General features: G+C 57.7%; 1 protein-coding gene across 9 annotated transcripts in view, besides 2 other annotated features; it reads right to left on the bottom strand.

Annotated features, from left to right (window-relative positions):
• Nucleotides 310–369: an enhancer, noted in NCBI's record as "active region_21275". NCBI's record gives its function as "activates an Ori minimal core promoter by ATAC-STARR-seq in GM12878 lymphoblastoid cells {active_cell/tissue: GM12878}" and the evidence as "EXISTENCE:reporter gene assay evidence [ECO:0000049][PMID:35858748]".
• Nucleotides 1,541–17,590, bottom strand: part of SORCS2 (sortilin related VPS10 domain containing receptor 2) — a 550,290-nt gene continuing 534,240 nt past the window's right edge. For 2 of the 9 annotated variants that reach the window (XM_011513516.3, XM_047416008.1), the window contains 7 exons: nucleotides 17,465–17,588; nucleotides 15,906–16,018; nucleotides 14,656–14,781; nucleotides 10,947–11,046; nucleotides 9,994–10,096; nucleotides 7,196–7,302; nucleotides 1,541–4,168 (listed from right to left, as the gene is read on the bottom strand). In XM_011513516.3, the coding sequence (XP_011511818.1) occupies nucleotides 4,104–4,168; nucleotides 7,196–7,302; nucleotides 9,994–10,096; nucleotides 10,947–11,046; nucleotides 14,656–14,781; nucleotides 15,906–16,018; nucleotides 17,465–17,588 (738 nt within the window). In that variant the 3' untranslated portion in view covers nucleotides 1,541–4,103. Of the gene's footprint in view, nucleotides 4,169–4,440; nucleotides 4,521–5,362; nucleotides 7,001–7,153; nucleotides 7,303–9,993; nucleotides 10,097–10,946; nucleotides 11,047–14,655; nucleotides 14,782–15,905; nucleotides 16,019–17,464; nucleotides 17,589–17,590 lie in introns of those variants that run through there. The other 7 variants (XM_011513515.3, XM_047416006.1, XM_005247987.5 and 4 more) reach the window with 7 other exon arrangements.
• Nucleotides 9,362–10,154: an enhancer, noted in NCBI's record as "H3K4me1 hESC enhancer chr4:7735941-7736733 (GRCh37/hg19 assembly coordinates)". NCBI's record gives its function as "activates a minimal SCP1, AML or CMV promoter by ChIP-STARR-seq in naive H9 embryonic stem cells {active_cell/tissue: H9 hESC(naive)}" and the evidence as "EXISTENCE:reporter gene assay evidence [ECO:0000049][PMID:30033119]".

Genomic DNA, 17,590 nt, shown 5'->3' with positions numbered 1-17,590 from the left:
AGAATGGAAACTGTCAAACAGGGTGGCTGAGGGATTCTCACTTCCTCCCTGAGTCCTGGCAGTCAGCAAAAGGGAATAAAATGGTCACATGCAAAGGGCTCTGAAGTACACTGCTGTGTTCACACTATCTCTCTCTGTCACTGGTCACACACAAGCACAAACACACCCCCCTTGCTGGCCTCTGCACTGCACCAACCCTGGACATCCGTCTCCTTTGCGTCTTCTCATGAGCACCTGCACTCGGCCTGCACCCAGCTCAACCATGGCTTCGGACTAGGGATTTTTAGCTGGGCCAGGTGCTCCCTGGTTGAGCTGTGCAGTCATCATCCACCTCACCCAGGCTGAGTCTCCTTCAAGGTCCAGGGGCCGGAGCCTGGTCGCATTCATTCGCTGCCCCAGGCCCAGAGCCCAGCCCAGGGCCTGGCACAAGTTCAAAGAGGCATCAGATCTGGCAGGAAGTTGATGTTGAAATCCAGTTTTTACTCCACAAGAACATGTCATGGCCCAGAGAAGGAGGTGTGTGTGTGTGTGTGTGTGTGTGTGTGTGTGTGTGTGTGTGTGCGCGCGCGCGTGAGGGGTGCCGCTCTACCCAACCTTAGTGGGTCTATTTTATCCCTGCCAACTGGACATGGTTCAGCGGTCACACCTGGGGGCAATTCCCTGCTCCCCACCCTGCACTGACTTGTGTGCAAGTCAAAAACAGAATCGCCATCACTCCATGCTGTGAAAAGAATGCCTTGTTTTATTACAGCTCTTAAAATACTTTCACGCGCAAGTTGACCATATTTGGGGACAACAGTTCCAGGCACAGCAGACGCTCACTGGGATGCCAGGGTGTCTGCTGTCAGCCCCTTGCCAGCTCTCTCCCCCTGAGCAGCCACTAGGCAATTGCAACCTCATTCTTTCCAGAAATGGCTTGGGGACCACTTAGCAAATGTGAACACATCTGTAAAGTATGTTCATCCACCTCTCTCTCTCTCTCTCTCTCTCTAACCATGTGAGAGTGAGAAGAAAGAGTGTTCTTTTCCAGCTATTAGAGTTGAAGTTTCAGAGAAGGTGTGGACACTCAGTGGCTAGCTATAGTGAATGCACAGCTTTTGAGGCTGGAGCATCAATTGGGATAGACAAGTCCATGCCTCTTTCTGTCAACTCAAAGACTAAAGCAAATGGCCTTTCAGAAATAAAGGAGCCCCATCAGATGTGGGACTGTGCTGCACCACCTCCAGGCCCTCAGCCTCTGGGAGTCTCTGTTTCTCTTCTGGAAAATTGGCTGACACTTCTGGTTCCCCTTCTGCTGGCCTTGAGTGACAGAACGAGCCCACATGTGTGAAAGTGCTTGAGAGCCGACCGGGGAGATCATTACTTTGAAGGCCACTGCCATGTGCAGCCTTCCTCAACGTCCCAACGTGTAGGGCCTGGTCCTTGTCCCTCGCACGAGGTCCTCAGCCACCTCACCTCTGGGACCACGATCCTAGGGGCCTGTGTGTGCACCCACATGCATTTCAGGAAAGGAGGAAAGTATCTTCACAATAAGGCAAAAGCTGATCAAATTCATTTAATCTTTGTTAAAAGCATCACAAATGATTCATCGATTTTTAAAAAGGAAAAATAAGAAGGAATGCATTGTCTCTTTGTTATGTGCATGGCAGCTGATGGCCTCGTTCCCAGGCGCCCAGGTCTACCTGAACATCAGATATGCAGACCCTCGAATTTACAACCAGGGACAGACACGGGCCCACGCCTGGATCTCCATGGGTGCACAGACGGGAACGTATCAGGCTGTCTCAGATGCCACCTCCTTCCCAGGTGCTTGGGTCCACATGCCCAACATGTTCTTAATAGAAATATTAACATAAAATACAGGAAACCCACAGATAACTAAGGGGAAAAACCCAACCCAAACAGCAGAGAGAATTAAATGGAGTGGTCAAGGAAGGCCAACGACCTAGAGTGGCTACCGCAGGCACTGTGAGCTAAGGGGGAGGGCAGTTCCCAGGGTTCCATGTTGCCCGTGGGCCCCGGGCCTGCACTGTGCTCGCCATGTCTGTCCCTGTGTGCCTGACGCTTGCAGGCGGCCTGCTGGCCAGGGACAGGTGTGGGTGGGGTGGCCAGCAGGACAAGAATCCCTGCAAAGGTGTCCTTGCAGACTGCAAGCAGGGGAATGGGGGCTGTGGCAAGGTCCCAGAGAGTCATGGCCCCACGTCCTGGATCCCATCTCCAGGATGACCTTGAGGACAACTTGTAGGGTGGCCTCTGGAGTGGGGAGGGGGCACAGGAGCCCCAGGTGGGCAGGTAGGGTGGGGAGAGAGCTTTGGGTCTGGGGGACAGGTGGAAGGGGTGGGGACACCTCCACGCCTGTGTGGCCCAGGGTGCTCCCCTTGTCCTGTGGCCTTGAACACCCCCCGACCCAGGGAGATGAGGTTCCAGTCTCCATGGGTGGTTTTACTCAACAAGGAGCGGGTGCCTCCTCCCCACCGGGCACTGTTTGGGGCGTGAAGATTCACCCCTGGGCTTTCCCCTCTAATGGACCATGTTTCTTTTCCAGGGGAAATGAGGCAATTCCCCCAAGCTCAGACATGGTGGATGGGAGAACGTCTGCACTGTCATTCGGATTCACCCCCAGCCAGCATGTCACCAGCCAGGGCTCTGGCGTTCTCCCTTTCTGAGAGGGACCCTCATTGGGATTCACCCCCAGCCAGCGCATCACCATCCAGGGCTCTGGCGTTCTCCCGCTCTGAGAGGGACCCTCATTGGGATTCACCCCCAGCCAGCACATCACCAGCCAGGGCTCTGGCGTTCTCCCCCTCTGAGAGGGAGGCCACGGTCATCTGAGATCCCTGCCAGAGAGGAGGGGGAGGAGGGAGGAGGAGGAAGGGGCTACTGACTTCCCATTTCAAGGCAAAAGGTGACCCCCCCACCCCCCTATATTCCTATAGACTTACACTAACATCCCTGATTCTAGGAAACCGTAAGGGTGTGGAGACCGCACAGCACTGGCGCGCAGAGGGCTGGGTTCGGCCACCTCTGCTGTGACCGTGCTGTGACCTTCAGTTACTCTCCTCCCTGGGCCTCAGTTTCCCCTTCTTGAAAATGAGGGTCACGCTGATGGCCCTTCCAGCCCTGCCATCCTCAGCCTCTCCCAGCTTGGTTTCCACCCGGTTCCCTTCGCCTATAAGGAACTGCAGAAAACTGGTACATCTGGTGCCGTCTCCACCACCCACCTTTCTGGGGGCATCTGGCTCCTTCCAGAGCCCAGACCCGGTGGGAGAACAGCCATCAGGTGGGAGAAGCCTGCGGGATGGTGCTGCTTGCTGGTAGGAGTGAGGAACCATGGGCACTGGGTCCTGAGCCCGCCCTACCCCGTCTGCCCTGGGGAGAACCAGGGAGAGCTGCTGCCCCTCTGGGCAGAGGAGACACCCTGGGCACTCAGGGAAAGGGGCTCCCGAGTACGGAACTCTGACAGAGCCACCCCGGTGGCTACCGCCGGCTATAAAGACAGAGAGTGAGACACCCCCACCACCGCCAGCAGCTACCTAGAGAGGCATTTACAGAGCTGCAGTTTCCAGCCGGAGGGCAGGGGGGCCTGGAGGGTGGTGTGGTGTTGGGAGGGCCTGGCACCCGGGCTCCCACAGAGGGACTGGGTGGCCGCACAGGTGGGAGTGAAGAAGCAAAGTCAGGGAGGCCCCGGCCTCTGCGGGGAAGGAGCCCGCAACGCAGTGTCTGAACGGGTCTGCAGCTCTTGCAGCCCGAGGTACTGGGAGGGCTCCAGGACGACCAGCCTCAGCCCAGAGAAGTCAGGCCTCGGGCTGAGCGACAGCACGTGGGGCGGCCGTGTGTGGGGTCTGGGGGGCAGAACCTGCCTGAGTCAGGCCTGGTGTCCCATAGGGGCAGGGCCATGTCCGGGGAGTCCCGGGGGGTCCCGTGGGCCCCCCGTGGGCCTGGGCGGGCTTGGATTTATCAGAGGGGGTGGTGCCTGTCGCCTGGTGTGGCGACGACTCAGGGAGGGGGCTTTCCGCAGGTCTCTGAGGGGCGCCAGTCCAGCCGCCGGCTTTGCTGGTGGTTCTGTGCCCTCCGTGGGTGAAAAGACAGATGCTGGGGTGGCATCAGCTCACCAGGTAGCTGTGCATCTCTCGGGAGTTGATGCTCAGGACCACGCCTGAGTGGTTGCCTAGGAAACAGAAGAGACGCAGGTCCCGTGAGCACAAGCCCGGGACTGGAGACAGGGCCACAGGGGACACGGTCGTGGCCTCAGGCAGTGCCTCGAGCCAACGTGCAGTGGGCCTCCCTGGCTTCCTTCAGCCCGTGCAGGTGCAGGGGGTCTCCGCGGTTCCTAGGTGGGTGCCTGAGGAGTGGGCTCTCCCGGTGCCATCACAAGCAGTGGGCCCCAGAGGGCCTGAGAGGTGAGGCCCAGGCCGGCCCCAACCCGCCACAGCCACTGACCTGCGTGGGGATCGCCCCCGGCATCGGCAGCAAGGGGGTGCGAGAGGGGCTGAGGCTCCGCCCCCTCCTGGCAGTGGGCGCTGCAGGGCGTAGAGTGGCGAGGCCCCGGGAGGCGAGAGTGGGAGAGAGGGGGGCATAGGGATGTCAGTGCCAAGGGGTGAGCCGGGTGTCCCGGGTGGGGGCTGGTTAGGAGTCAAGGAGACAGGTCGAGGACCCAGGACCCAGAGCTGCCCCGCCTCAAGGGCACCGGGAGACACGGCTGGGAGCACCCGCGGCACAGCCCAGACACACCTGAGTCCTTGCCTGAGTCCTCGCCCATCCTTCACCTGGCTGGGCCTTGGCTTCTTCATCTCTAACGTGAGGGTCAACCGCACCCCTCAAAGGACTGGCGTGGGTCAGACGGGGAAGTGCGGCTGCTGCATTGGCAAGGCTGGCGTGGACCAAGGGCTTGGCTGCATGAATCTTACTACCCCACTAGGATTACTCTTTAGGGGCTTGGAAGCAAAAAGCCATCGGGGGCTGGGGAGCCGAGCCCTGTCTTCCTGAGACCCTGTGACCTCTGTCCACTCGAGAAGGCCTGGGGGTGAGCATGGGGGTGATGCCGCCTGCAGGAGAGGGAGCCCCAAAACCACCTCCTGCCCCAGCAGGAGCAAGACCAGTGGAGGGGTCTTTAGAGTTGTAGGACGCTCACCCGCGGCCCGGGGCCTTCGGGGGGCACACAGCTGTATAGCCACTGAGTCAGGCTTGAGCCCGGCTCCACCTCTTTTCACTAAGTGACCTGGGGAGGTTGAGTAACAGCTCTGACCCTCAGCTTTCTCATCTGTGCAGTGGGCGCAATGTCGATGACTGCCTCCGGGAAGTCAGACGGTGTCTGGGAGGCGCTGAGCTGGGGCTGACACAGAGCGAGCGCTCCGTGAAGTACCTGGGTCCTGTGATGTTTCCAAGTCTACAGACGCATCACGCCATGAGGAACACACCTGGGCTGGCGATGCTGGAGACAAGGGACCCCCACCGGGGGTGGGGCAGACAGGCCTGGTGAGGGGCTGGAGAGCGCGCAGGGGAGGCAGAGAGGGACCGTGGCCAGTCCATTCAGCTGCCCTGACCCCTCTCAAGACAGTGTGAAGGTCACAGGCTTTGGGGTCTGGCTGGCCGGGGTGAGCGACTTCTCCTTTTTGAGCCTCACTTTCAATAATTTGCACAGTGGGGACAGTGGTTTCCGCCGCTCACGTTCTGAGGATGTCCCGGATGCAGAGTGTGAGTGACGCTCGAAGCCGGATCATCAGAACGGCAGTGGCAGCAGCTGGTGGTGCCAAGACCTCCGTGGCTTCCTGTGTGCCGTTCTCTGCTCCAGAAGCTACCGCAGAACCCCGCAGCAACGGTGAGAGGTGTGTGCCGACGTCACCATAAAATCAGGCCCAGATGGGGATTAAGAGAGAACAGGAACTGTAGGGGAGACGCCGGGTCCCTGGGGTCTGCCAAGATGTGACTTCCAGCTCCGTTCACCACCAGCTGTGACCTTGGGCAAGGACAGTCCATGTCTTTGCACTTCCATGTCCTCAGCTCTAGGGAAGAGCCTGCCTCCTCGGCTGCTGAGCTGAGACAGGCATGGAAAGTGCCCACACCGCCTGGCTGCCGGCGGCACTTGCCCGACACGGCATGCAGGGCTGGTGCCACGGCCCTGGCAGCACAGGCTCCCAGCCCTCTGGCAAGTCTCAGAGCCTCCTGGGCCTCAGTTTCCCCCCTCATCCAGAGAAAGAACTATAGTGCCTGTTGCGCTGGATGGCATCATGCTCTGACTGCGGCTGAGGGATGCAGTCCGTGTCCCCTCCCCTCAAACATGGACAGGGCAAGACACAAGTGACAGCGTATGACTTCAAGGCCAGGCCCTGAAAGGGGTGTGGCTCCTGCCTGGCCACCTCCCTCCACATGCTCTTGGAAGTCAGCCGCCATGCTGGGAGGAAGCCCAAGCCACACAGCGAGACCATGTGCAGGTGTCCCGGTCGATGGTCCAGGTGAGGGGTTAGCTGACTGCCTGCATTAATTGCTGGCCATCTGAGTGAGGCAAGCTTTGAGATGACTGCTGCACCAGCCATTGACTGCAGCCTCATGAGAGACCCTGACAGCGAGCAGCCCGGCTGAGCCCAGTCAGCTCCCAGACACCAGAAGAGAAAACGGCCATAAACGATGCTACGCCGCTGAGGTGGGCGGTTTGTCATGCAGCTGTAGATGACTGATCTTCTCCTTGCTGGGCATGACCAGGAGCGAAGGGGATCCCATCAGTGGAAATGCTTCATAAACTGTAAAGTGCAGTGCCGCAGGTCCATGTGTGGCGTGCTCCCTAGATCACCACTGCAGTGAAGTGGAGGACTGGGAGTGTTGAGGGAGCGGCTGTGGGGGAAAGGCCTCCCACGTCCTGAGGCCCGAGTCAGGCTTCCTTTCAAAGCCAGCCCTGTTTCCCGTCCTTTCCCTGCCTTGATGGGGCTGTCGGGGGCTTTTGGTCATTGCCAGGGATGGGGCCCTCAGCGTCCACATGTCTCAGATTTCATCTCTGCCGGCAGCCCTGTCAGGTCCCGTCATCCCCTCATCAGATGGAGGGGACACAGTGGGCCCGACCGACCCGCTGGCAAGGGCTGCTGGGCCAGCGTTTTGCTGGCCCCAGCGGCCCAGCGGGGTGGCCTGTGGGAGGGCGGGGTGGGTTTGGGGCGGACGTTACCTAGAGTCTGCGAGTCGAGATCATCATCTATAAACTCCTCACCCTGGACAGCGCCCTGGACGTCCTCACTGTGACTCACAGGGCTGGTCATCTCCTGCTCCTTCTCGTTGTGCATTTGGGCGTACACGGTCCTGCCTGGCCGTTTCCTGCTGGACAGAGGCAAGGGCGGCTCAGCTTGGAGGGGCTTCCCAGGCCGCCTGTCCCTGGAGCCTTCCGCTGGCCGCCTGACCACACCGAGTGTGGTGCACGGTGCCCACAGCACTCCAGAGGTGCCTACCCCAGCCCCAAGTTTTGCCTCCTGCCCCATCTCTGCTCAAAGCCACTTCCTCCAGGAAGCCCTCCCTCCTGCATGCTCCCTTGGCCCTGGGATTCCCTCTGCCCTGACACATTGGGTGATCACTGTGTATCTGTCATCTCCCCTGAGAATCGAAGCGTGGGCATGTGGTGGGGAGAGGGCATGATATCCTCTTTCCCCCGACCCCCCATGCCTGGCCACCCTGCCACTGGGCTGGGCACACATTCCCGCAGGAGGCACGAGCCGGCCCAGCTCTGAGAGGCACTTGCTGAGCCCCATCCAGGCGTCCTGGGGGAGTACTGTCCTCGATTTCCCAGCGAGGAAAGGGAGAGGGTGGGCACAGCCCCGCTGCCTCCACTGGGACCCGGCTCAGGACCCGCCCTGGGCCAGGCTCCTTCATGCACGACACCCCACTTAGTCCAATCAAAACCCAGGGTCAGGGTCCCATTTCACAGATGAGGGGACTGAGACTCAGTGGGAGAGGGGGGCTTTCTCAGATGCAGCTGATGAACATCGCCAGCCCTCTGGAAACATTTTAACGGCAGGATGGGGTGGGGCGGGACCTGTGACTAGCTCTGAGGGTGACAGAGGGTGGCCAGTATCACCTATAAGCTGCAACACTTCACCACTGGATTTATATGCTCAAAGCAGCGCTGCTGCCTCAGTCTAGAGCCTTGAGAGACGAGGGCCAAGCCCCTGCCGGGCCCCAGGGGCATGTGGCTGAGGGCTTTGACTGGGTTGTCAGTGCTGCCCAGCCCAGCCCTTGAGCAAGCCGGGAGCTCCCGAGGGCACAGGCCGCACCAGAGCCTAAAGCCTCAGGCCACTGGGGACAAACGGGCGTTGCTCTGCTGTGAGATGGAGCCTTGAAGTATATTGGGCACTTCTGCCTATGCCCAATACATTCAAGCTCCCAGAGACTGGAGTCACAGCCCTGGGGTTTGTCAGCACCAACTTTAAGCTGCTTTTGTTTCCAGGGCAGTCGGGTGCCTGGTTTCAGGACCTGAAAGCCTGGGCTCGAAGGCCGCCCCTGCCACCTCCTAGCTGTGACAAACCCCAGTTGCAGTGGCCATGGGATATAGGCTGGAGGGGGAGCACACAGGAAGGAGGTGGGATTCCTGACCTGGGCACCTGGTAGAGGACAGTGTCATTTGCTCAGCACCAGCTTTGGGGGAAGAAGATGCTGAGTTTGATTTAAATTTGCAGTGCCTACGGAACCCCTGGATAGACCTGTTCGGAAGCCAGTGCCTCTCTGAGTTTGGAACTTGGGAAAGACCACAGGACAGACCCTATTTTACTTCTTTGCCCCACAGACTCCTATTCATCCTTCAGGATCCCCACCAGAAGTCACTTCCTCAGGGAAGTCCTCCCAGATTCTCCAGTTCAGCTCTGAGTGCCTCAGGCCAACCCTTTGGGTGGAATTGAGTAACAAGGTGGGTAAGGAGCTCCTGGACGCGCTCCCAGACAATTAATGCTGTGTCCCAGAGCCTGGGCCAGCCTGTGGAACGGGGGCACACATGAAACTACTACTCAAAAGACCCGCAGTGCATAAAACAGTGGGACCGGGAGCAGGAGGAGGGGTTGGGGGAGTCCAGGGCCCATGAAAGGCTGGGGCTTGGCATCGGGGAAGGGCCCGAGGCTCCAAATAAGCCGAAAGGAAGGGGTGAGCTGTGGCATTTGATGATCCTCAAGGGTGACCCCGATGGGGAGACTGGGGCCCCCGGAGCTGAACCAGCAGGCAGGGGAGAAACAATAGGGCCAAATCTGGGAGCTGCGTTTGCAGGGAAGGAGTCTGGTGATGCTGCCGGGGCCGGGTCACTTTGCTCATTCCAGGTCTAGCGTCCAGGGAACTTCAAGTTGTCCAGCCCCTGCAGGGTGGCCATGACGCGTCCCAGCGTCGGGGGATCACACCCATTTCACAGCCAGGGAACAGGCTCAGAAGGAAAGAGAGGTATGAAAGCCCCTCCCAATAGACAAACACTGTTCTTGCCACCTCACCCCAGCCTCGGCACAAGCAGCTCCCTCACGGGGACACCCAGAGCCCTCCCCACGGGAGCGCCTGGCAGGAAGCTCAGCAGCTCTCAAGTGCTCTCGAGGGGAGGGAAGGGATGGGCGGGCGGCCGAGGAACCCTGGGATGTGGGCGGGCCTGGGTCAGGTCCCAGTTCTGAGGCTGGCCGTCTGTGTTACCTTGGGCACACTGCTTAACCTCTCTGAGCCTGGTTTCCTCATCTGTGAGATGGGCAGTGTCCTCCCTGTGAGGTGGGTGGGGCTGAACAGCATGATGGCTGGGATGTCCTGGGGAGAGTGGAGGAGTGGGAGGGTGATGCTCTCTGGGTTGCGAGTGGCGGCCGTCTCTTCCAGGGACCCCACAGGTGGTACAGAGCCAGGCAAGCACCTCCCCCTGCAGCCCATCACAGGCACAAACTCTCACCACTCCCTTCTGAGGCCCTGCTGGGGCCCTTTCTAGATCTGCCTGAGTGAGTTGGGCCTGGCTTCCTACGGCCCCATGGTCAGAGCCCCGCAGAGGAGGGCAGCCAAGGGCCTTGCCTTTTGAACTTGTAGAGGATGAAGGCTCCCGCTGCGAAGAGCCCGATGACAAACAGCACCACTACCGCCCAGTAGCCGCCACCGCCGCCCAGCTGCTCAGCACCTGCAAGCAAAGCGGTTGTCAGTGGAGGACCTCGGGCACCGCCCATCCCTGTCCCATCCCCAGCCCATCCCGTCTGTCCCCCACCCGTCCCCAGCCTGTCCCCCGCCCATCCCCAGCTTGTCCCCTGCCTGTCCCTGGCCCATTTCCTGCCTGTCTTCAGCCCATTCCCATTCCCTCCCCAGCCCTTCCCCAGCCCATTCCCGGCTTGACCTCTTCCTGTCCCCCACCTGTTCCTGCCCGTCCCCTGCCTGTCCCTGCCTATCCCCTGCCTGTCCCTGCCACAGCCTCCTTGGTGTGGAGGCTGTTCCATGCCCGTGGCCGGCGCTCCTGATGTGGCTGAGAGGGGCCAGAGGCCATAAATGACCAGGAGTGCGTCCTGTGTGGCCTTGGAGAGGTCCCCGCCCCTTGACCTGGCTCCCACTGGGGATGGAGGCTGTGGGCAGAGCTCCCCGGCTATGTTGATGCTGGTGTGGGGCGAACCTGCCGAGTTTCAAGGGCACGGTGTCTTTACAGAGCAGAGCAAAACTCATCGGCTTCTGCAAAGGCTTTTGCCCCAAAGGGGAAAGGATGACTGACAGCCGAGGAGACAGCTCTGTGGGTTGGGGAAGGGGCAGAGATTATCCGAGACCCGAAGCGTGGGTATCAGGTAAGAGCAGTGCTCCATGGGGCATCCGCAGAGGGAGAGCGCGGTCCTGCGTCTGACCTGGGTGGGTTCTCAGTTCCATCAGAGGCGAACACCCACCAGGAGGGGGATACGGGCCATCTGCCCGAGGGCCCTGCAGGGACATGGCTTCTCCAGGGCCCGGATGCCTCCTCCACCCATTCCGCAGGGGAGCTCCCAGTGGCTCACCTGTGCCTGTGTCCCGCAGGGCCACCAGGACCCGGACTCCGCCTCGCAGGAGGAAGCTGATCTTCTGTGCGTTCAGCACCTGCTGGATGGCGGCGAGCCTCTGCAAGCACAGAGGGGACAGTGAGTGAGGCCTCCATGGAGGCTCCTCTGCCAAAAGGGAAGGGGGATGGGGTCCTCCTCCAGGAGGGGAGTGAGGGGTCTCCACGTGTTGGGGGGGTCTTCTACCAGGAGGAGAGTGAAGGGGTCCTCCATGGGGGGTGGGGGAGAGGGTCTGCTACAGGTGAAAGGGGAGGAAGGGCCCTCCTCTGGTGGAGAGAGTGAGGGGGTGTCCTCCACTAGGGGGGAGGGGAGCAAGGTCTGCTGGGATCCACCAGAGGGGTGGGGAGAGGGAGGGGGATCTGGTGGGATCTACCGGAAGTAGGGGAGAGTTGGGGGGTGGCTCTGGGATCCACCAGAGGGGGATGGGAGAGCTGGGTGGACCAGTGTGAGTCCTGCTTGGACCCTCTGGAGCCATGGGGCTGGGCAGGCCACCTGGCCTCGCTGAGCCTCGGTGTCCTCCTTTGTACCACGGGAATAATCACCCACAAGGGAACTTTCACCAAGAACCATGGAAGGGACACAAAGGCGACCGAGACATGGCTCTGGCCTTCATGAGCTCTTGTTTTAGTCGGGAATGTAAAAGACACAGGCTACGGAGTGTGCCAAGTTGGGGAAATGCAGGGGTGCTCCAGGAGGCTCCATCCCCCAGTGGTGGTCAGGGAAGGCCTCCTGGAGGCGGAAGACCAAGAAGAGAATGAGACAGGGCAGGACAGGAGAATCAGACCCCCTACCTGAGGGAGGGATATCCCAGGAGGTGGTGCTGGGTTGTAGGGTGAGGGATGCAGGGTCGGGGGCACCTATAGCTGGAGAGGGCAGGGGCCAAAAGGCAGCCAGCCTTGTGGGCCACGGGCATCCTCCTCCAGGGTCTGCGTGACGTGACAAATGCGTGAGGTGCCCGGCGCAGAGGAGGGCTTCCTCCTCACCCCTCTCACTCCCTCCCGGCCCCTCTCACTACTTCCCAGGTCCAAGCATCAGTCATCACCCAGGGCTGGGTGGGCTCAGAGACCAGCCACCTTTCACAGCACTGGTCAGCTCTGTTATTTTGACAATAGCCATTCTAACAGGTGTGAGGCCATGTCTCACTGTGGCTTCAATGAGCATTTCCCTGATGATTCGAGATGGTGAGCATGTTTTCCACATACCTGTTGGCCATTTGTGTGTCTCCCTTTGAGAAATGTCTACTTGGCTCCTTTGCCCGTTTTTTAATCGAGTCACCTGTTTTCTGGCTATGGAGCTGGGTTTCTTACGTATTCTGGATGTGAACCCTTGTCAGAGGTATGCTTCATGAATCTTTTCTCCTATTCTGTGGGCCATCTCTTCACTCCACTGATTGTTTCTCTGGCTGTGCAAGGGTCTCTTGGTTTGACATCCTGTTTGTCTATTTTTGCGTTTGTTGCATGTACTTTTGGGATCATCTGCAAAACAGCATTGCTCAAACTGATGCATAGTTTTTCACTATGTTTTCTTTTGGTGTTTTTACAGATTCAGGTCTTACGTTTGTCTTTAATCCACTCTGAGCTGGATTTTGTAGAGGGTGTAAGAATCTAATTGCATTCTTCTGCATGTGGATATTCAGTTTCCCAACAATATTTATGGGAGATATTCTCTTTTCTCCATTGTGTCTTCTTGACAGCTTTATTGAAAATCAATTGACCGTACATGTATGGATTTATTTCTGGGCTCTATTCTGTTCCATGGGTCTGTGTCTGTTTTTATGCCAGTACTGTGCTATTTGGATTACTGTAACTTTGTAACGCATTGTGAAGTCAGGGAGTGTGACGCTTCCAGCTTTTTTCTTTTTGCTCAAAATGGCTTTGGCTATTTCAGGCCTTTTGTAGTTCCATACAAATTTTAGGATTTTTTTTTCTATTTCTGTGAAAAACATCATTGAAATTTTGATAGACCTTGCATTAAATCTGTAGATCACTTTAGGTAGTATGGACATCTTAATAATATAAATTCTTCTAATCCAGGAACACAGGGTATCTTTCCGTCGATTTGTGTCTTCTTCAAATTCTTGTACTGGTGTTTTATGGTTTTTAGTGCACAAGCTTTTCACCACCTTGGTTTAATTTGTTCCTAAGTTTTTCACAAGTTTTTCACCTCCTTGGTTCAATTTTTTTCCTAAGTAGTTTATTCTGCTTTTAATTTTTGATGCTATTGTTAGTGGGATTGTTTTCTTGATTTCTTTTCCAGGTAGCTTGCTGTTAGTGTGTAGAAGCGCTTCTGCTGTTTGATTGCCTCCGGTCCTTTCTGACGGTGGCCCTCGCCAAGCCTCACTTCTCATGTCTGTAAAATGGGACGTGGCACCACGTGGGCATGCTGGAGTGTGCACTGTCCTTCCCCTGCACGGGCCACGCCTTCCAGATCACCTGAGTGAGCATCAGTCTCCCTGACCAGTGCAGGCTATGTGAGCTTCTGGTTCATTTTTAGAAACTGATAATAACATTTACTCTTTTAAAGTGTACAATTTAATGCATTGTAGTATATTCCCTAAGTTGTGCAAGCATTACCACTATCTAATTCCTGCACGTTTTCATCCTCTCCCAAAGAATCCCCTAGCCTTAGCAGTCACTCGCCATGCGCCCTCCCCCAGCCCCTGGCAACAACTCATCTATTTCTGTCTCCATGGATTTGCCTGTTCTGGGCATTTCATGTGAATGGAATTGTACGCTACGTGGTCTTTTGCAACTGGCCTCTTTCACTTAGCATCATGTTTTCAAGGTTCGTCCATGCTGTCAGAGGTGTCAAGGGCTTCGTTCCTTTTGGTGGTCAAAGAATATTCCATTGTAAGGTTGGACCACAATTTGTTTCTTCAGCAGCCGATGAGCACTTTTTGGCTACGATGAGTAATGCTGCTGTGAATCCATGTACTGTGGATGTATGTTTTTGTTTCTCTTGGGTATATACCCATAAGTGGACTTGCTGGGTCATGCGGTAACTTAGGTATAACTTACTGAGGAATTTCCAGCCCGTTTTGCACAGCAGCTGAACCCTTTCCACCAGCAGTGTGAGAGGTTCCAAGTTCTCTGCTTCCTTGGCAACACTTGGAATTGTCTGATTTTTAATGTTAGCCACCCTAGTGGGTGTGAAGGGATTCTGGTTCATCTTTGAGTCCCCTTCCCACACCTGTCACATGGCAGGTCTTTTATCCCCTCCATGAGGGCTATTACTTAGAAGTTGTCCTGTGCAATAAAGACATTTGCTAACTGCATGGGGGCTGACTTCTGCTCGGCCCCGAAACCCACACCCTTGGGTGTCTCCCTGACAGTGCTTAGCCTCATTTCCCAGTGCTCCTGGCAGTCAGGTTGGGGCCATGTGACCATCTCCAGCCAATGACACGGGAGAAGAAATGAGCGAGCCCCCTGGGAGGTGGTCCAGCCTGTGCCCTCCCCCCGACTACCTCTGCCGCAGTGACCTTAGAGGCTGTGTGACTTCCAGAGGGCGTAGCCACAGGTGGACGAGGTCAAGCCACCCTGAGTCAGACTGAGATGCAGCGAGAAAGACGCCTTTATGCCATGAGCCACTGAGACGTCCCTGCTTGTTGTAAATGACCCGAGCCCTGGGATGTGCAGGGAGGACCTGGGAGTGCAGCGGCCACAGGACATACCTTATCACTCGAGAGGCTCCTCTTCCTTGTGGGCCTGGGAGGGGGCAGGAGCACGTACAGATCGGCCAAAGTGGGCAGCCCCGGCTTCACCACAGTCACCAGAAGCTCCTGAGGGACGCTGGTCTCCTGCGGGGAGAGTTAAGCCACTTTGGTCCGCCTGTCTTCCTCATTCCCTGCCTCATACTGGGGCCCCCAGGAACACCCTCTCTCCCTTCTTGGCCTGTACACCTGTCTCACAGGCCGTTCCTGACCCCTGCATGGCGTGGGGATCCTTCCAGGGTCCCAGGGTACCCTGAGCTACCCCCTGCACCCAGCTACCCAGGGCCCTCAGCCCTGCTATTCAGGACCTGTGCCGTCACACTGGCCTCCCCTTGGCCAGGCCTGGCCCTCAGTCCATTCTTCAGACCATGACTAGAGTGAGCACCAGCACCTTCCTCCCTGGCTAATGTCCTCCATCACAAGGCTCCTTACCACACCATTCCAGGTCTGTGACCGGGCCCCACTGACTCCAGCTGCCTCCCCCTTCCCACTCCCTAACACCCCAGGCCCAGCCAGGGCCATACACCCACAGAGAATATGCTCTCAGCCCATAGGCACTGCTCATGTAGGTGCCTCTGCCTCCTGGAAGTCCCGTTCCATGCACTTCCATCTGGCAAACCCTGATTCAACCTTCAGTGCCCAGGACCCTTTTACCAGCATTATTCACGGGAGGGGAAGCCTGGTCAGAGTAGGCCTCAGCCTGTGATAGCCTCAGGTGGCTCCAGAGGACTGGTCCTCTCTCACTTGGGGGCCAAGGGCCTTGGGTGTGCTACAGCCCGCCCTGATGTCTGCCACCCGGGAGCTCCTGAGGCCAGTGAGCACACTGGGTTCTTCTCTCTGTCTTGTGTCCAGCCCAGAAGAGAAGTTCAGTGAATGAAGGAAAATTGCTTTAAAGAGACTCTGGAGCACTGGAGGACGACAGTGGGGTCTCCTGCAAACAGCAGGTGGTCCCTGGACTGTGTGCATGGAGGGTGCCTGTGGTCCCTCCCCTGTGAGGTGGTGCTCCAGCTGCAGGTCCTCCTAAATAAGGGCAGTGTGCCTGCCCCCCATCCATAGCTTTCAACATCCCCAGCTGGCCCGAAGACCAGAGCATCGTGTGCGGGGGCAGTGCCACCCGCCTCTCCTTTCCCTGAGCACCCCGGGGCCCTTGGGCTTCTCTGGATGCCGGAAGCACCGTGGGGCTGGGGAGGCTCTAGGCTCTGGGTGGACACCTTGGAGAGCAGCCGGGTGACCACCAGGCCCACGTCTTCCCTCCACTCAGGGGTGTTGGGGTTGTAGGCATCCAGCTCCTTGGAAAACTGCAGAGGCATGACTTGAAATTGATCTGGAAAGACGCAGAGAAGGGAGACTGGTCAGTTCTGGACAGCCTGGCTCTGACGGCTCCAGGGTGGGGGTCGGGGGCAGCCACATGCCCTGGATGGTCCCGGGAGGCCTTTGATTCAGATCCCAGGGCCCAGCAGCCCCATCGTCTTCTCAAGCAGGCCGACAGCAGTCCTGATTTAGTGTTTGGAAACCAGCTCCTTCCCTGGATGCCAGCAGTGGTGGTCTGTCCCAGGCAGGACCCATGTCACTGGCTGCCATCTCATAACAGCAGTGACAAAGATGCCAGTGATGATGATAAAGATGCGCTGACCCAGGAGGGAGGCCTAGTGTGCACCAAGCCTGCTCTGTGAGATTTGCCTCCTTGACTCACAAGCATGAACACACCCTATGAGGTCAGCCTCTCATCCATCAGGGATCCATGGACTTCAACTTGCTGGTCCTCCCACCAGATTAAGAGTCCCTTGAGAGCAGAGGCCCTGTCTTCTTCTCTTTCTCCCACATTTCCCATAGTCCATGGCTCAAAGCCCAATTCTAAAGTCACCAGGGGCTCCAGAGATAAACTTTAACCTCTCCACTTCTCAGGCCTCAGTTTTCTCACATGTAAAGTGGGAGGAGGCTGTGCAGGGCTGACGGGCTCAAGGGACAAGTGCTTTGAGGACTGCAAACCCAACATCTTACAATGAGGGTGGTGATGGCATTTGCAAAGCTCCCAGCCCAACAATGAATGAAGAATAGCCAAGGGCAGCCTCCTCCAGGGTGTGAAGGGCCTGTGTGGGCAGCCCAACCCTCCGCACACTTGTCCAACTAAATATTTAACTGATGGCTGCTGTCCACAGTAGAGGCTGTTCTTAAAGCAAAATGAGGGTTTATTGCTGTGATGTTGGTGGCAATGAGCTCTGCCTCCTTGACAAGGGGGGGGGGGGTCTCCTTCAGTCTTAGGACCAGTTGGTATTGTATATATCTCCCACGAGGGACTAAGAGCCCCCAGTGAGCACAGATAAATGAGGATGCAGATTCAGAAAAGGAGGCTCAGCGTTTCTCTAGACAGGAGTCCTCTTTAAGCTGCCATCATGAGACAATGCTCAGGCTTGGCCAGAGGTGCCAAGAGGACAGGGGCCCTGGAGGCAGGCACAGCCAGTGCCCAAACCTGGCTGTCTTGCTGCTGGGTGACCTTGTCCCTGGTGTGTTCTGTCCCATGAGTGTCTTGGGACACAGGATTTGTCAGTATTTATTTTACAGATGGGGAAACTGAGGCCAGAGAGACCGGGAGACTTTGCCCAGGCCACACAGCCAGGGCAGGGCTCTGTTTATCCAGCCCCTCCCTCCCCACCCCAGGGCCACTCAGGGTGACCAGGACATCCATGGCTTACGCGACCCATGTGGCCTGGCTTCCTGGACTGCAGCAGAGATGCAGAGGCCGTGCTGCCAGACCCCAGGAAGTACTTACCCAGCACACGGAGGACCCTGGAGTCCTGCAGCACCGAGTTCCCACAGGCGGCCTGCACCGTCACACGCACGTCGCCCGTGTCCGAAAACCGCGTTGTCACAGAATTATCCAGGGAAAGGAGGGGCT

This window comes from Homo sapiens, chromosome 4, assembly GCF_000001405.40.
Source record: "Homo sapiens chromosome 4, GRCh38.p14 Primary Assembly".
Classification (NCBI taxonomy): Eukaryota; Metazoa; Chordata; class Mammalia; order Primates; family Hominidae; genus Homo; species Homo sapiens.
Note: the sequence above shows the minus strand (reverse complement) of the source record. Positions and strands in the feature narration are given on the sequence as shown.